Here is a 20,232-nt window from a genome sequence, read left to right on the forward strand (position 1 = left end):
AATTGAAGAAGAGTAGTAACCAGTCATTGAAACTGTGTCCCATAGTTTAGATAAGAATTGTTTGTCCCCAAGTCCCATGTTGCAATTTGATCCCCAATGTGAGAGGTGTGGCCTGGTGGGAGGTGTTTTGTTCCCTGGGGGGAATTACTCATGAATGGCTTGCTGCCATTCTCACTGGAGTAAGTGAGTTCTCATTTTTAGTTCCTGCACGTAGTGGTTGTTGAGCCTGGCACCTCCTCCCGTCTCTCTTTTGCTTCCTCTTTCTCTGTGTGATCTGCACATTTTGTCTCCTCTTCACCTTGCATTGTGAGTGGAAGCAGCCTGAGGCCCTCACCAGATGCAGATGCTAGCACCATGCTTCTTGTACAGTCTACAGAACTGTGACCCAAGTAAAACTCTTTCCCTTATAAATTATCCAGGTGCAGGTATTTCTTTATAGAATACAAATGGACTAGGACACTATATATTTATTTTAGTATAAAGATGCTCATCAAAGCCTAAGGATAAAGTTAAAGATAGAAAATAAAAAAAAGACTAAATATAAATGGAATAGAATTAAAGAAAACAAAACTATCTATTTTGTAGTATTCATACTTTTAAAAAGTACAGTAGAAAATCTTAATAATATCAGGTAAATATTTATCAAATATTTTAAATGTCTTACATAGAATTACAAAACACACTTTGTGCATCACTGCATTTTAAAACATGACAGGACAGAATCTTTGCCACCTTTATATTTTATGAAGAGTTCTATGAAAAATGAAATTTTAGTCCATCAGCCAGATGGTTTGTTGGAAAGATGCCAAATTGCTGCCTGCTTAATAATAGTTGCATTATTAACTGTATTTCCTTTTTTACTCACATTTGGCAAAATGCAGAAAGAAAAGTTATTCAATGTAACTCTTTTAACTTGAAGAATTTAATGGTATGCCATTTCTGACAACAGAGAAGATCCTTGTTTTTCATAAAAAAATTTATTTTTAAGGACAGAATACCAAAGCTCAAAATGTACTGTGTGGTATAAGTGTTCACACTATTGTAAGCCTTTCACTTTTTATTACTTCCAGAATATATTTTCAGATTCAATTTTTCACCTATCTGCTACTATGTTTCTATCAATGTACAAAAATCTGAAGAACATTTATATTGAATGTTTTAAGTACAGAAGTTTTACAATGTTCCTTCCAGAAATTTGATTGTCAAAGTAACTTAGACAAGCTGATATTTCATGTATTTGTACAAATCATATTACGGATTTGCACAAATATTAAGAAATTTAATGAGAATTTGCACTGAATATCAACACATTTTAATACCCTTGTAGCTATCATAAAAGCCCGGCTATTTAACATTAACTATGCTAATATATATCATAAGCACAACAAAGTAATTAAATTCTTACAAACTAAAAACATTTTTTATCTTTGAGCACGATTAGTGCAGAGACTTTTTATTGTTTTAATTTTTTTCATAATTTCAACTTTTAGATGTGGCGGGTACGTGTGCAGGTTTGCTACTGGAAAATGGGTGGATCTCATCACCCAGGTACTAAGCATATACTTAGTTGTTGGTTTTTCACTCCCGCTTCAGCCTCCCTCTGGGAGTCCCCAGTATCTATTGTTGTCATCTTCATGTCCATGAGTATCGCTGGTTTAGCACCCACTTACAAGTGAGAACATGTGGTATTTGAATTTATGCAAAAAATAGACAATATATAAACATGGAATTTAAAAAGTAGTCAAGTACAGTTAGGTTAAAAGATTCTTAAGATTTTTATTATGAATGTATTTGAATAAATATGAATTTTCTGTGCTTTTTTTCTCTTTTATGCACATAGTATTCAAATACTATGCACAGTAATTACTGAAGTGGTTTTTGCTGTTTGGCATCTATTATGTACATATTCATAAATGCTGTATGAGGTTTGCTACCTGTCAGCTTTTTCTTCCAAATAAAACATTTTAATTATTCAGAAAGTTTTGTTATTAAAACAAGGCACAGCCACAGCTTTCTCCCCTCCTCTCCCTTTTCTTCTCATGGGTAAAGCATATTGGCTTCAGTTTCAAAAGTGGGACTTCCTCAGGCCTGGAATACACAATTTAAATAATACAAAGAATTTCAAATATTAATAGTACTGGACTCATAGATAAAGTATATGAATGATAAACTGTTTTAAAAAGTGATGTTGCTATTTATGGATTTTTAGATACTCGCTTATAGTTCTTGAAAAATTACAAATCTAAAATATTGCCTTTATATCCTCAACCTGTTAAAACTTTCAGAAGTTATATTCTGAAATCCAGACTTTTCCCAGACTCTTTTAAACTATTTTATCAATCCATTCCTTAATTTTCTCCTCAAAACAAGTTTATTTCTACATTTTTTATAATTTTTCCCACTCTGTTCAGCTAGTAGCTCAGTAATGACTTTTGCTGAATTGTTACAGCTATATTTGCTAAATAATTCTACTCAATCAAAGTCTAACAACATTCTCTGCCTATGTGTTAAGCTTCCATTACCACATAGAATTTTAAATCAAGGGTATTTGATCAGTACGATATATGACTTTTTAAATAAAAATACTACTTAAAATACAAAGGAGAATATCATATTAGTCAGAGACATTATAAGTGTATGTTGATCATTAATATTATTATGTAAACATTTTTTTCTTCAAAATAATGTTTCAAACACACCTCAGATATTTTCTGTGTAGTGTATTAAGGTGCTAAGAATTATTTCTACCTCTAGAGAAAATGAAGACAGTAGTACCCCCCTATAAAGAGACTATGGAAGGGAGAATTTTGTGTGTAAATATTTCAATTCATATGCGTGTATGTTTATATATGTTTACTATGTATTTCCATACACAGCCATTGTATTCGTCACTTTTAAAAAAATTATATTTTAGAAGATATTCGGTGTCTAATCTCTACCTTCATGGTTTATTATTTCAATGGTTGCTTGTAGGATCTTTTGCCGCTTTTGGAGTCACTGTACTTTTAAAACAGTGGTAGATTAAGCACATCCTTTCTCCATACCAGCCGTAAATTTTTAAATAACTTTTGCTTCAATACCATTTTTGAGACTAGTTCCTAAGCTTTTTTCAGTAACTTTCTACCCTTGGATTTGGGTTTAAATGGCAGATTTTTTTCCCAAAAGCTATATACAAAACATATTTTTATCTTCTAGAAGATAAAAGCAATTAATAGTCTTCAAATCCATTGTAATGTTAAGAAGTAGATACTGAGTATATTTTATCTTAAAAAGAAAAATACAAGATGAGTTTCATAAAAGTTCCACTACCATCCTTAGGAAGAAGTAAATCTATATTAATATTTAAGATATATAAAATAAACATGGTTTACTTAAACAGTTAATTCAAGATAAATTTGTACATCGTGACAAAATCTGTTTAATGTTTTTATTTCTAGTAGCTTTACATTTTTGCAATGAGACAAAGTTTCATCCTTCAGATGAGCAGCATGGGAGAAAACAGGTCATTGACAATATAATCTGGATCTAAGAGAAAGAACTTGGAAGAAGTAAACTATTTCAGTGGCAGGACCCCAGAAAAAATGACATGTATCTTGCATTCTTCAGATATTTTTCTGGGACTCTACACAAACCTGTTAGCTTTCCCAGTAAGATGAAAAAATGATCCTAATTTCCCAGTAAGAACAAAAAATGATCCTAGGTGCAAGTGTTGGCTTTGTCTTTGGTCAAGTCCATACATTAATCAATATCTCAATGGTTCCCAGCCAAATTTATGCTGAAGAAGAATGCTTAGGTTCTCACTATTTTGTATCTGGCTTAAAAGATTAGACTATCAGCCAGTGATAGCGTTTCTTGTCTATTGTTCACATACTCAGTGTTTCTTGCCCTTGGTATGCAGTAGAGCTTACTTCACTGAGCTGCTAAGGAAAAACAGCAGTCTCTCTCAAGATAAATTCATTCTGTAGAAGCCACCCTAGAACGTGATGGAATATTTTGGATATTTCATGCGGGATTTTGTTTTCTTCTAATATATATCTGTATTTCATGCTAATTTAGTTTTACATCTATCTTGAAAATAGCCATTTACTGGCACTTTTATTACTTTTCAATTTGTATTACTTCCCTGGTGCCACTTATTTCATATTTGACTTAATTTACCACTACATTGACTGTAAGGCTACCCCAGGATAGGTCATTTACACTGTGACTGTTTTGTTGGCACATATTTTCAATACTCTAAGCAATTAACCTGCCAATTCTTGATATAAAACATAATAGAAATATTACACAAATATTGCTATAGGTGTACTCATACATTGTCTATATTGAGAGAATTACAGAGAAGAGTTACCAAATCCAGTTTTTTAATCGCTATCTATGAAGTAAATAAGTAATCCTTTTAGAATCTGGGGTACATGCACAGGTTTGTTATACAAGTAAATTATTTCATGTCATAGGGTTTTAGTGTGCAGATTATTTCATCACCCAGGTGATAAGCATCTTCTGATCACTAAATTTTTAAAAAAACCCTCATATCTACTCAATAAAAAGAAGAAAATTACCAAGTTAAATTAAGTGTAACATTCTAAACTCTTAATGACCAATAATGTAATTATTAAATTGTTCAACTAAATTTACATAAAATAATTGTTTCCTTTTTCTCTTGGTTTTTTTTCCCACCTATTCTCCTACATCTCCTTTTTCCATATTTCATACACTTTTTTCCTTTCCCATCTGTTCTCACTCTTTACTTCATTTTCTTCCCTTTCACTCTCCTACACTGCTATATTTTTCTTCTTTACTTTCCCTTTACTGCCTACTTACATAAGCATCATTATTTTCATATTCATATTTACTTCCAAGACATTGAATTATTGTATATCGTGTTATGCCATTCAAGGATCATTTCACAATGTTAATTATTTCTTATTTCTTATGGATATGGATTTTGTTGTCATAGCATAAAACCTTGAGGACATCTAGTGTATATTTCTTATTACAGTCCCAGTAGTAGGGAAGGTAAATCTGTAGTTAGTATTGATTTAAAAAGGTATTTCTGCTAGTTGTAATTTCCTCTTCCTAGAGATATTTTAAGATTCTCCACTACTTCCTTGTTAAATTGATTATCATATTATTAGAAAGTAATTATTTTAAACTTTGTGGAACATTTACTAGTGACAAGTATGAATGCGAGAAACACAAATTTTCAAAAGTTAATGTATTTTACAAAATGCGAATATTTCATGTTTTTGACCCAGAAAATCTCTACATGTATTTATATTGATTGTTCACCTTATAATAGGGTGAAGTTAAACAACAAACAAACAAAAACAAACAACAAAATCCCAGAACCAAGAAAACATGGTCACAAATAAAATCAAGCATCCCAGTACATCTCAACCTCATTGCTTTCTTGCTACTGCCTTCTCATTTTATTAATATCAGTGTTTACATCTGTCTAGAGAAAACTTATTGATTCTATAATCTAAAAAGAATATAAACTGTTAGTTTTTGTCAGCTAATATATGAATGTGTACTTGCTTTACATAGTTCTACCAGAGCTTTTAGCCATCTATTTTTCAACCACATTTTACTACTACTCAACATAAAAATAAATCAACAAGGCCGGGCGCGGTGGCTCACACCTGTAATCCCAGCACTTTGGGAGGCCGAGGCAGGTGGATCAAAAGGTCAGGAGACCGAGACCATCCTGGCTAACACGGTGAAACCTCGTCTTTACTAAAAACACAAAAAATTAAATTAGCCGGGTGTGGTGGCCTGTGCCTGAAGTCCCAGCTACTTGGGAGGCTGAGGCAGGAGAATGGTGTGAACCGGGGAGGCAGAGCTTGCAGTGAGCCAAGTTCACGCCACTGCACTCCAGCCTGGGCAAAAGAGCAAGACTCCATCAAAAAAAAATTAATCAACAAATATTTAATAAAGTTTGCCATATATGTGTGCTATATTTCTTGTTATTCAATAAAGCCAATATCTCATGTATATCTCAATATGTATTTCTCTACACAGAGTCATATTGGGAAGAGGAAAAAATATTTAAAACAAATGAACATGGAAAATATTTATTTTCCCCTTAATATATGGCAGCCTAATTAATAATTAAGCACTTTGCTGTCATATTAAATTCTGTAAACAGACAGACTTGGCCTCAGATTATCTCTGATAATGATACTCCCTCTCTCTATATATTGTATAGAATATACTCATGTAACAGGAGAAAATTTAAGTTGAAACAAAGAGAAATTAAAAAATAGAGAGAGCCTTTGCAGTCCAGAGGCATTTTTGCCAACATATTTCCTTTGTATTTAAAACCTAATTTGATTCACATTGGGATTTTTAAAATTTAATTGAGTTACTCATGAATACCATCAAAGAATATCATTTTTTGTCTTAGATGGAATATACCAATGGAGATTCATGAATGAACATTTATGTGGAAGTAATTTATTAAGAAGTCTTTAGCAAAAATTCAGGAGAGTAAGAATATGGGGGCAAGATGCTAAAACAAGCAAAGCCCTTTAAAGGACAACTTTAGTTCCATCTTGCAGGGGATTTCTGGGCTAACGGTAAATACCAACTCAGAGCTGTTTTAACAGGAAAAGAGGGGCGGGAGTATTTACATGCCACAAACACCTGTCAGTCACTGAGTTACAAAAGGGAAAGGAGATGCTGGCTCTCCATGGAAGAACAGGTAAATTGTGATCAGGCCGACTTAGAGCAAGACTTTGGTAAGGTGCAGTCACTGACTCTTACGAGTGGAAGCATACCAGTACCCAATGTGCATGGGAACGGTAAAGGGATCAGAAGGGATATGCGTGGACTACAGCGAGCTTCAATTTTTGCAAAGGAAGGAGTAGTCTCCAATTCTGTATTATACGAACCTTATTTTAGCTGAAGTACAGATGTCAGTGACACATTATTAAACCAGAATAAATTTCACCTTTTTATGTGTACATTCTGATGAATTTTGTCAATTAAATAGAAGCACTTTCACATTATTCATACTATAAAACATTTCCAGCCAATTAAAGTGTATCTTTGACTTTTTTTTGTAGTTCTTCCTTCCTCTTGCCTCCTCTGCCACCACTGGGGACCACTGACCTCCTTTCTGTCCCTATAGTTCTACATTTTCTGTACTTGCATATAAACCCTATCATAACACTTATTCTTTTGTGCTTCATTTTTTAAAAATATTGTATAATATGTTTGATATTCATTCATGTTTTTTAATGTATAAATATTTTGTTTCTTTTTATTGTTGGGTAACATCCTGTGGAATGAGATATCACAGATTTTTTATTCACTGGTTGGTGACTACAACATTGCACATTTCAATCAGATATCTCTGAGCATTCCATTTGTTCTACATTGAGGTACCGCTCCTCACAAGAGGGCATCAGCTGTGAGGGTCTGCCTGCAGACCCTGACCTAAATGATGGATGAATAAAACGTACACTGACACACAGATATTCTGTTATCCCAGTCCTGCGGAGTGTCTGACCGCCTACACACCAAGAGAGGCTGTCACTGAGGCCGGTCCTGAGCAGCTCGCACTCCAGGCATTTATTGAGTGTACAATTAACAACAGAAGCTTTGAGTAAACACACTTGTGGATGATTAACCTGGTTAAGAGAGTAGTTCTAGGAATGATTAAAGCTCAGGTATTGCAGTCTAAAGTAAATACCATTAGGGGGCAATTTCCCTGGTCGACCTCCCCGTCACCCTCCCCGCCACCCCCCAGAGGGCCATCTAGCTTAAAGGTTAGTTAATGGAGGTAGGGTTAACAGACTGAACTGAGGAAGCCTCTATTGTCCCTAGAATTTACCCTATGACCCAATGCTTTAAGGTAAGAACCGGCTGCCTTCAGCCTGTTCAATTTTTATAAGCTATGTAACCTTTCAGCCTTCCAAAAAGCTTTGTGACTATTCCCTATAACTTCCCCTAATATTTCCCTTTAATATTTCTGCCACCATCCTGAGTGAATCCCAACACTACATCCTTGCTAATATTGAGTATTGTCAAGTGTTTTGATTTTAGCAAATCTGGTAACTGTGTAGTATTATCCAATTATAGTTTTAATTTGCATTTTCTGGGTGACTAATGTTGCAGGATGTATTTTTATGTGCCTCTTGGCCATTCATAAATATTGTTTTGTGAGTAATCTATTCAAAATCATTTGCTAATTTTTTGGAAGAAAGTACTATTTTTCCACAGAACTATTAAGTTGTCTTAGCACCATTTATTGATACGACTATATTTGCTTTATTTATTAACTTACAATTGGGTTATAGAACTCAGCCTATAAGTCTGAGTTTATTACTGCACTTTCTAATCTCTTTCATTTATCTGACATTACCACTATGCGCACTGTCTTTGGTGTTACATTTTCAAATGCATTGTGTTGTTTTTGAGTATTCAAAGATGGCAATTAATATGTTTCAAAATTGTTTCAGATATTCTGTGTATTTACTTTTTGTCTTCTTTTGCTAACAATTACTTATAGATGGAGTCTCCTTTGTGACTATGAATGAATTCATTCCACTATTAGCCCTCAATCTTTCTTCAAGAAAGGAAAGATATTATCTTCATATTTCAGAAAAGGATAAAACTTTTATGTGGAAGTCTCTCCAGTAAAAACATCAGCTTTATCTATTTCAAATTTAGATTTTCAGTTTTTACTTATCTGTCTTGACGATTTATTACTAGGCTTTTTAAGATTGTCAATTCTTTTTCATGAGTTTACTCTTTCCTCATTGAGACTTTTTTTTTCTCTGAGTGTTATTTCTCCTTTGAACCCAAAGTCTCTTTTACCTGATAACAATATTGTCAATAATGTAATCCTGTTAACTTTGTATTTGTGTTTTCTGGCTTATGATTTTTTTATCGTTTTACTTTATCACTATCTTTTTTATATATTTAAATTGCAAATATTATAAACAGCATATAGATCCATCTTGCTTTTGGATCAAGACACCAAATGTCTGCACATTCTTGAAGTGTATAGTTCATTTAAGTGTAAACTAATTATTGAAATTATTACATTTAACTCTACCGACATTCTTTTATATTGGTCTCATTGATTGTTATTTTTTATTTTTTGTCTCTTTCCACTTGCTATTAGTTGAATTTACTCTAATTATTCAATTTAATCTCCCATTGGCTTTCCCACCTTACTTGTGTGTTTGTTTAGGAGCCTTTTTTATTGGTAGATTGGCAATCAAATTCAAGTAAATCAAATTGTAACCCGGGGTCCTTGGGTTTTTGGTATGCACTGTGAAAAAGTAACCACATGCAAATGTTGTAACTTGAGTTCTCATTGTTTTAAAAAGTTCTAAGAAGAAGCTCAGCCCCAGAAAAAACAAAAACCGATTGATCCAGAGACGCCTGAGTTGTAGATAAACTCTGGCAAACTTTCCTCTTTATCTTAGTAAAATCTCTGCCAAGGGAGAAGCTCATGGCCATTTTCTATACCTGGAACATATATAGAAGCATGACCCATGACTGCACCTGCACTGCCTTTACTCCACCTCTACATATAATGACTCAGCTTATCAGCCCAATAAAAGCCCTGTTTTCACCTTTGTTCAAGGTGGCATTGCTTTGAGATCCACCCCCAGTTTCCTCCTTACTTGCTGCAAGTAATAAAATCCGCTTGTTAAATCCTCACTGGTTGTGGTCATTGTAACTGCCAAGCAATCAGAATCAATTTATAAATATGTAGGAGGATAAAATACAGATATAAATCCACTGAAAGACGTTTCATTAATAGTAGCATACTCTGCACATACTCTGAATCATTTTTTGCTTACCTGCAGCTAAGACCAATCGTCTGCCTGGAGCCACATGCAATCCCAGCACAGGCATTTGGAGGCTTAGTAGTCCTCCTCTCCTTTTTCATTCATTTTGTTTTTTCTCTTATTCTTTTGTCTCTATACTCTTCAACTTTTATATTTTTTATTGACTACACTAAGCTTTTCTTGAGCTCCCTAGATTTGATAAAGTTGTCCTTCTGGCATGTTTTTGCCAGCTGTCATGGCTCATAGTGCAATTTAAGCCTCTGTTGCACACTATTGTAAATCCAGGTAATGAAAGGCACAAACTTCTCACAAGCATTATGAAGCTGACATCTGTCAAGATAAATATTGTGCACTCAGCAAGGAGGAGATGGTTTAGATGGCTAGCACAGTTAACCTTGATATTTTATTTGAGAATGCTTTAGATGCCTGATCAAAGTAGGGGAGTGTTGCTTAGCTGATATTATGTAAAATGCGTAGGTTAGTATTATGTCCTTAATAAGTAGTAGTTTAAGTTTTTAAGAACATGTTTGTATTGTGGAGGAAAATATATTTTATTATAATATTTATGCACATTATTTTAATAAAATACACATATATGAAAGTATAAATATAAGGAATATCACAATTATTTCTTCCATTAAAAGCCCAATGATGCTATTTATGGATACTTATATCTTTTTAAAATTTTTATATTGAACAACATATGCAAATTTGTCTTATTTTTCAGTAAAATTTATGTCATATACATTTCCACAGTAGTCATGTAAATTTAAAATCTAAATGCTAACATGAAGTTATCCCACTACTTTCTCTTTTTGCTGACAGAGTTCAAAGAGTGCTTTAATTGTGATGAATACAACAATGACAATAAGTACTAAAGCTGACAACTTTCTGTAGGTCAGACCATGTGCCAAATGATTAATATGTATTATCTCATTTAATCATAACACTCACCCTATCAGGTTTATCATTAGATAATATCATGCATATATAATATAAATATACATACAATGATATGGCCAATATTTTATTATTATACTTTCTAAATTTTGTAGACAATGAAGCCAAAGATTAGAGGAGTGAAATAAAATGGTCAAGACAATAAAGCCAGTAAAAGAAATAGCTGGCACTTGAATACAGTCTTATAAACAGCCACATAATTATTTATTGTAATATCCCACCATATCTAGCACTATGCAAGTGATAGTGTATTGGTTCATTCTTACATTGCTATAAAGAACTACTTGAGACTGGGTAGTTTATGAAGAAAAGAGGTTTCATTGACTCGCAGTTCCATATGGCTGGGGAGGCCTCAGGAAACTTACAGTCATGGCAGAAGGTGAAGGGGAAGCAAGGCACTAATTTCCATGGTGGAACAGGAGAGAGAGTGATGGGGGAAGTGCCACACTTTCAAACAACCAGCTCTCCTAGGAACTCACTCACTATCACTAACCCAAGAACAGAGAGGGGGAAGTCAGCCCCCATGATTCAGTCACCTCCCAACAGGCCCCTCCTTCAACACTGGGAATTATAATTCCACATGAGATTTGTGTGGGGACACAGAGCCAAACCATATCAGATAAGGAAATGAAGATACATTTTTAGTCACAACTCACAGGTAAGAGATTTTCCTGTTTTTCATCCCAATTCCTTGATATATACAGAGATCACTGTAGAAACAGATGAATGATAGTCACTATGAAAAGAAAATGGTTGATTATATAAGAATAAAAAGACAGTCTTCAGTCATTCCCTTTGAGCACACAGAAGAAATAAAAAAAAAACTGCTTGTACCAAGGTATAAACAAAAACTTGGAAATAACAATTCCAAAAGAATTATATTTGCTTTCTTCACCAGACAGCAAAACACTGAAGATCAAGAGCAGACAGAAGAAACACTATTGTTATAACCATGCTTTTATTATTATTTCTTAAGAAACAAAATACTGAAAACTGATTTTGGAAATCATCACATATGCTTTATAAAATTTTTCCATATACATATATACTAGTTGAGGCACATATTAAATGTGTGAGTCTTTTTTGCATACTTCCGCATATGCTTTTTAGATAGTTACTAAATTCATATGTCTTTAAAATTCTGCTTATTTTTGTATAGAGGTTAGGAATAAAAGAAAGACTATGCCATCAGAGTAGAAATTGAGGTGCTCTTATCTACACAGTAAAGCATCACTCTCTTATGAGAAAAAATAAGAAGTGGGGGGACAGCTAATACAGCATGCTATCTTTTCTGCAAAAAGCTTAAAGAAGATTATGCAGGTATATTTGTTTAATTTCAAGGAATTTAAGATTGAAATATTAACTACTGAATGTTTAAATAAAATAATACAGAAAAGAAAATACATTAATTTAGTTTTCACTTTGAGCCATATTTATGCTTTATATTTCTGAAAATGAAATTCAGTACAAGGATAGAAAAGTACCATGAAAAAATATAAAAAATAAATGTAAAATTAAGCACAAATGTTAAAAAACAAATCTAACTCTATTAAATTTGTAACATTGTGCTAAAGAATAAATATTTCAAGTAGTTTTAACACAGTTCCTGACTGTGTAGGGATATAACAGAATATATCTAAGAAAAAAATCAACTACAAAGGCACTTTAAACTTTATTCAGTAGGTTTTTTGTTAGCACTAATGTTGACACTGTAATTTTTAAACTACATTAAATATATTATTTTAACCTATATTCAATATTTATAAATTTATTTAAGATAGTTATCTGATAATGTATATTACGGGAAAAAGAAAATAAATAAACTTATTGAGGATATTGGGAAGTAGTTTTTATAGTACAAAAGTATTGAATAAAATAAATTAATAAAACTTTATTGCTAAATTTGAATAGAATACAATAGTAATTATAGTTTAAAATATTTATTTTATATATATTGAATATATATTTCAGCATATTTTTTAGTATATATTTCAGTATTTTCAGTATATTTTTTGTTCTGAAATAATCTAGACACAATGACCTCCCAGGAACTACATGTCCACATAGCACCCAGATCTTGGTTTTAAAAACCACTCTCCAATATAATAAAAAAGTTGATAATTGGAGAAATAGCTGTTTCTTTGGCTGATAACGGACAATACAAAAAGTGCAAACTGCACACAATATTCTGATCAAATAATAATGTGTTTGTATCAAAAATTGTAAGAATAAGGTTATTGACTTGTGTGGAAAAAGGGCTTTTATCAATATAAAATATAATTTTTGTCCTTTGAATACTATACACCTTGAAATCTTCATTTGTTTTACAATACAAATAATAAATCAACCTTAATTTTGGTGATATACATTTGGTATATCTTTCTACTACATTTATTTTTAAGTTTTTTTGTATCATTTAGTTTTAAAGCCCTCTCATGTCAAAGACATAGAGCCTTTGAGGAGAGGGAGAGGGAGTGAAATTCCAATAGGAAGACAGTGCCTTTACATTAGTAGCTTTAACCTATTCATGTGATTGTGATTTCTGAGGTGAATGAAAATATTTTATAATTTTGTTTCATGTTAATCTATCATTTTATTAGTTTGATTATACATGTCTTTTCCTATGTTTTGATGTTTTGAGTTTTCTTTGCTTCATTTTGTTGCAATTTGTAAAACTATATATTTCTACTTAGAAATTTTTAGCTGAATTTCCTCCACATATTTGATCACTTTAAACTTAAATTTTCTAATAAAGCTGAAGTTTAACTGATCAGTTTTACTCACTTCAAGTAGACAGAAGTACCTATTTTATCCTCTCTTTTTCTCAAATCTTTTTCCCATTAATAAATGAACATGTGTCCATACATCATCACACAAAAATGTATTTGTTTTTACGTAGGTAGTAGTTTTTAACCAAAACACTTTTTAAAACACTCACTAGTTATTTAGAATAACTGATATATACTGATACACACACACACACACACACACACAATTAGTATTATTGCAGACTTATTCGTAGTACCAAATTCTTTAATAACATTATACAAGTGTCAATAAGTTTAATAATTGACAAAAATATAACACATCAAAGATGGAATCTTTGCTGTCAATACTGATCTTCATATTTTCAAGGTTGATGAAAATACCAGCTAAGAATTAGATAAGGAGTTAGTTCATATTATGAAATGTCTTGCTAGTGTCAGTTATTATTTGATACATTATACTGTCTTTCTCTATTCTTTCCTTCCATTCTACATTTCTTCAGTGTTCTTCTGTTGTCTTAAATTTTACCCACTTAAACTAGAAGTAAACAAAATAGTCTGGGGGCAGTGGCTCATGCCTGTAATCCCAGCAATTTGGAAAGCTGAGGCAGATGGATCACTTTAAGGGAGGAGACCACCCCTCATATTGTCTTACGCCCAATTTCTGCCTCAAAGAAAAGGTAGGAGTTAAAGAAAAGACAGAAGTGAAATCAGTAGTCAGACAGCCCAGTGCTGCATTCCAGGCCTGGTAGTTAAAGATCCACCCCTGACCTAACCGGTTATGTTATCTGTAGATTCCAGACATTGTATGGAAAAGCACTGTGAAAATCCCTGTCCTGTTCTGTTCTGTTCTGATTACTGGTGCATGAAACCCCCAGTCACATACCCCCTGCTTGCTCAATCGATCACAACCCTCTCACGTGGACCCCCTTAGAATTGTAAGCTCTTAACAGGGACAGGAATTGCTCACTTGGGGAGCTCGGTTTTTGAGATGTGAGTCTTGCTGATGCACCTGGCCGAATAAAGCCCTTCCTTCTTTAACTCAGTGTCTGAGGGGTTTTGTCTGCGGCTCGTTCTGCTACAACTTGAGATCAGGAATTTCAGACCAGCCTGGCCAACATGGTAAAACCCTGTCTCTACTTGAAAAAATACAAAATTTAGCTGGGCGTGGTGGCAGGCACCTGTAATCCCAGCTACTTGGGAGGCTGAGGCAGGAGAATCGCTTGAACGTGAGAGACGGAGGTTGCAGTGAGCGGAGATTATGCCACTGCACTCCAGCCTGGGAGACAAGAGTTAGACACTGTCAAAAAAACAAAACAAAACAAAATTTCCTACCTACATGTAAACAAAAAACAAAAAGTCAGTGCCAGGGGACTTGGTGGGGGTGGTGGTGGTGGTGGTGATGTGTTTTTTCTCTAGTAATAGACACAGTGCTTGATTAACAGTAACTTCTTAATACTGTATTTGACTAGAAACCAATAGACCTGTGTAGGCCTTGTTTACAGTGAAATCGACTTTGCAAAAAATATATTAGTGAGAAAAATTATATTAGTAAGCTAAGCTAGCACAACCACCATTTTGCCTTTCCCTTAATTAATCCTAGGCTACTGGGCCAAGCTAACTTTGGAAGTCATTCAGGCTATAGTTTAAATGATAATAGGCCTTGCCCAAAACTCAATAGCTTTTGTAAAGCTAATAGGAGGGCATCAGGCTGGGGAGAGGAGAGGAAACGGAGTGCTGCTAAGGCGCAGACATAGACAATTGTCAGGCATTATTCTGGAAGGTTATAAGATATGCTGCTTCCCCAATTACTCCTGGGAAATCTTTTCAGGTTTTTGCATGTCTGCCATGGCTCCACCTTGAAGGCCCCACCTGGACCCTCCAACTTAGCTCCTATGTCCCCACCCAGAAGAGATTCAGCTCACAGGAAGACAGCTCCCGTCTCCTATGATTGTATCTCCAACCCAACCAATCAGCAACAAACAGCTAGCCACTGCCACCCCTTCCCCCAAACTGCCTTTAAAAATCCTCTAACCTATAAGCTTTGCATGAGATGATTTGAGTACCAACGCCAATCTCCCATATGGCGTGGCTGGCCTAGTGTCTATAAAACTCTTTCTTTACTAAGATACTGTGGTCTCTTTTTATGCAGTGGGCAGGAAGAACCCCTTAGGCAGTTACAATAGTTCAAATTTCTATGCATGGTGTTAAAAATCATCATTCAAACACACATATAATGAACACTTATTATGTGTCATAAATTATTCCAAGCCTTTGGTACTGATGGTAAGTAGTAGAGTCAAGATTCAAACAAGCAATTTGATTCAAAACCAGTTCTTAAACACCACACAGTGCTGCTCTCTAACCTTAATTAATGGAGTGAAAATAAATTTTATGGGACCACACTAATCTGTGGAAATAGCCTCCCTAATAGATAAGTTTTGATCTAAATTCTAAAGAAAACAAGAAGACAAAGATAGATATAGGCTTTACAAGTCAACTTTGGGTTTGTGAGGGTAAGTTTTACAAAGCATAGGGACAACAGACACATTTACTTAAAGACAAGGTGTGTTACAGTAGGTAGCTAGTAAGGCATGAGCAGGGCAGGAGAGGGCTTCCCGCACCACCTGGAATGTCAGACGACCATCAGTTGATGGTCAGGCAGTTGTTAACTGTTTCTCTAAAATAATCATTGGTCACAGTCAGTGCCAGAGAAAGGCAGTCTCCCTGTAGATAGAAAAAAAAAACAGAAAGTGTTGATCAGCAGCTTCCCAATAAGATCTCAGCAGTTGAGCAGTTGAGCAAGAGGCAGAACGGCAGAGTTTAACTGGTGTGTGACCTCCTGGGGACATCCAGCTGGTGAGGGAAGAACTCCTCAGGTAAGCAAGAGTACAACTCCAGCAGGCACACTGTGCATCCTCCCCTCTCAAGTGCTAGGCAGGCACTGCACATGCAGGAAGCGCTCCCCAAGCACTGCACAATCAGGGAAAAAGTAGTGCAAGACCCCGGAAGCATGCCAACATATAAAACCCCAAGTCAAAAAGTCAAACTGCGCACTTGATCTCTCAAGTTGGCCACTTGGCCCTCTTCCAGGTGTACTTTCCTTCCTTTCATTCCTGCTGTAAAGCTTTTTAATAAACTTTCACTCACTGCTGCTCTAAAACTTGCCTTGGTCTCTCCTTCTCCCTTATGTCCTTCAAATTCTTTCTTCTGAGGAGGCAAGAATGAGGTTGCTGCAGACCTGCTGGTAACATATTTTGGTGCCATGTAACTCGAATACCTTCCACTGCTACCAGATGGATATTCATGATGGAGGAAGACTGATGCAGAATCTAGAAAAATAAACCAAGAGAGGAGCTCAACTTTGATTTAAAATGTAGTATTGTCTTACAGAAAAGAAAAATTCTGTAAACTTTCTGTGAGGAGAAAGGTCTTTGGTTTAAGGATTGTCTGGAGTAAACCTTTGTGAAAGCAGGCACATTTCTTATAATATTGGGACCTCAATTCTCACATTTATAAAATAAAGATGATAATAACTCCTTCATTAATTATTTCTAAGGATTAATGAGTAACTGCATGTAAAATGTGTACCCACTTGGCAAAAACTAAATATGCACTAATAATGATAGTCTTCATTAAAGAAAAAAAAAAACTTACATTGCTGTACTGAGATAATGACATAATAAGTCATCCTGAAAAGAAATTCAAAATGTTGTTCCCAAAACAACCAAAGCTCATTTCTTTCTTATGTAACAATTCCAAAGAGAGCTCCCTTTAAGGAAGCTCTCTGCTCTGGGAGTTTAATAAGGGACCCAAGTTCTTTCTTTGATATGGCTCCACCATTCCATAGATTCTTTTCATCATCCAGGTTACAGCTGCCAGGAAAGAGAAACAGCGTATGAAAAAGACACACCCACTCTGTTGAGAGCCCTGGACTAAAAGTGGTTCAAACTATTTTTGCTTACTTTCAATTGAGCAGAATTAGCTGCATGTCCCTCGGTAAGAGGCTAAGTGTACAACCATGGTTCTCTTTCTTATTTTAGCTGCAATTACAATGCAAGGTTCCAGTCTGGCTCACAGTCACCTCATACCACATGCATACTGTCTTGATCCTATGCCATGTCTTTTTCTGATTTTTGCCTGTAATTTTCCCAGTAACACACAAACACAATTTGGAAGTGCAGGAACATTAAGAGGAGCAGGAAGGGTATAATATGTCCATCAGAGCTAATGGAAAAATTCTCCAGCTTTAGTTATTGAGAAAGACCGTACTGAGAGGATTTCTGTATTTGTCTTAGAACACCCCATGGCAGCAACTCCAGAGCATCCTTATGTTGAGACTCCTCCTAACTTGTCTCTCTCTCTCTCCCCCCTCCATTGCTATGCTTCTTGAAATCGGTTCTCAAGTAAACTATCTGCACACAATTATTTTTCTAAGGTTCTGCTTTTGGAAAAACTCAAGTCATAATTATTCACCATTTATTTATAAAGAGTCAACTGTATTTTCAAACCTTCTCCTCCTAGTAAAGTCATTCATCTTGAACAAGAGAAAACAAAAGATGCAGTAACTATATCTATCTTATTCTATTTAATTAATTTATATAATTTTATACCAACTTAGATTTATCATTGTCTTTTTAACTGTGACAATAGTGGATTCTTGAACACTTTATTTATGAGAATTTATAAATTTTCATTACTCTCCTATACCAATAAATGAGTATGAAAACCTATCCAGTGGATTATTTTGCTTTCAAGTTTTTTCTTATTAACAGAGAAAGATGTTAAGAAAATGATAAATGATATATGCTCATTTTAATCATATTACATTTCTAGAGTCATTTCTAGCTTCATGTCAGAGTCTATAACAATAACAAATATAATAATAAAAGAAAACCGTCATGCTGACGCATAGTGGGGTTAAAGTGAGAAACTAAAGCACAAAATCAATACATCAAGTGTTTGTTAAAAGTTGATAATCCTGGTAGACACTACACCTCTATAAGGATGAACAGTGTGTGGTGGCAAACCCAATTAACACATATTCAGACAAATTCTATTCATTTCAGTGCTATTGCAATATCCAAGGTGGAGATGTTGTCAAAAGGGAGCTATTTTCAAGTTTGCATTTATCTATTAGATTCCTGCAAAACAACATGAATTTTCACAAAGCAATAGATCAGCTCCCCTTTCAAATCATTGTTCCTGGAGTGTCTTAGCAGGAGTTATGCCAATTTTCATAGCACGACCAATTTCTGCTTTATGAATCACTTGTCTACATTGTAAGTCCTGCCAAACTATGAAAAAAATAATTACTTGTGGACAGGAAATATTCAGCTGTAAATTACTTTGATTTCCCTTTACCTAAATTCAGTGTTCTAATTCCTTAATTCTCATTCCACTGTATTATTACTGTTTCTATTTTAGCATCTCATACAAGCTATAACCTTATTGCAAAATATTAAATAAGCAAATGTGTAGACACACACACACACACACACACACACACACACAAACTACATACTCAAACATTTGTAAATCAGTAAATCATTGGCTTTGCTTACCTTACAAGCATTAATTTGCAAACACAAAGCAATGAAAAAACTTCTATACTCTTTTAAAATGTGTAAAATTAAGCGGCAACATTAAGTAGGACATCTACCAAATTCTTAAGTGCATATATTTTATACCACCATTTCATTTGGTTGTGTTTCTAGTCTAAATCTAAAATTATCTGACGTGACCAGGCGTGGCAGTTCAGTCCAGGAATGGTGGCTCACGCCTGTAACCCCAACACTTTGGGGGGCCGAGGTGGGTGGATCACTTGAGGTCAGGAGTTCGAGACCACCCTGGCCAAAATGGTGAAACCCCACCTCTACCAAAAATACAAAAATTAGCTGGGTGTGGTGGTGGGTGCCTGTGGTCCCAGCTACTCAGGAGGCTGAGGCTGGTGAATTGCTTGAACCCGAGAGGTGGAGGTTGCAGTGAGCCGAGATCATGTCATTGCATGCCAGCCTGAGCAACACAGCAAGACTGACTCAAAATAAAATGAAATAAAAAATGAAATTATTTGATATTAATATACTTTCCACAAAATCCTATAATCCATGAATACCCCTAAATCTGCACATTGTATTAGCAATACTGTTCGATATTTTAAAGGTTCATTTTGCTATCATGTTCTGAAACAGGTACATGAGTGAGAAGAATAACAGCTTTGCATTCCTCCCGAATATGAATAGGTTTGCTGAATTAACTTTCTGAAGCAGGTGTTTCTGAACAAGAAGTATCATTGGGAAACATTCAACTTCTGTCAGCATTGGGGATATATTACAATGTAGGCAATGACTGTTTTCGTTTTCACTCTCCCTAAATGCAGAAACAACCTCCCTGTTCTTGAGTTTCCATTGCTTTGAAACTCAAAAAAACCCAATTGCCTTCAAGCCCTTTTATTTCTATTTCAGCTCTTGCTGCACACTGCAAAAGATTTAGCTGGCTTATTTTCTCAGTTATCTTATGGATCCTCCAAGTCAAAAGATCCAGGAGTGAGAATTTTCTTCTTTATGGACATAAAAGTTTACTATATGTGGAACCACGAGGAGAGTATTTTACATTATCAGCCCGGGTATTTATAAATAAAATTTTAGCTATGGCGTCATGGACCTCAAACACAAATTTTTAAAATCCTTTTACTA

The 20,232-nt window shown here is 34.6% G+C and overlaps 1 annotated feature.

Annotated features, from left to right (window-relative positions):
• Positions 14,929-15,743: an enhancer, noted in NCBI's record as "OCT4-NANOG hESC enhancer chr3:95067628-95068442 (GRCh37/hg19 assembly coordinates)". NCBI's record gives its function as "activates a minimal SCP1, AML or CMV promoter by ChIP-STARR-seq in primed H9 embryonic stem cells {active_cell/tissue: H9 hESC(primed)}" and the evidence as "EXISTENCE:reporter gene assay evidence [ECO:0000049][PMID:30033119]".

Source organism: Homo sapiens, chromosome 3 (assembly GCF_000001405.40).
Source record: "Homo sapiens chromosome 3, GRCh38.p14 Primary Assembly".
Classification (NCBI taxonomy): Eukaryota; Metazoa; Chordata; class Mammalia; order Primates; family Hominidae; genus Homo; species Homo sapiens.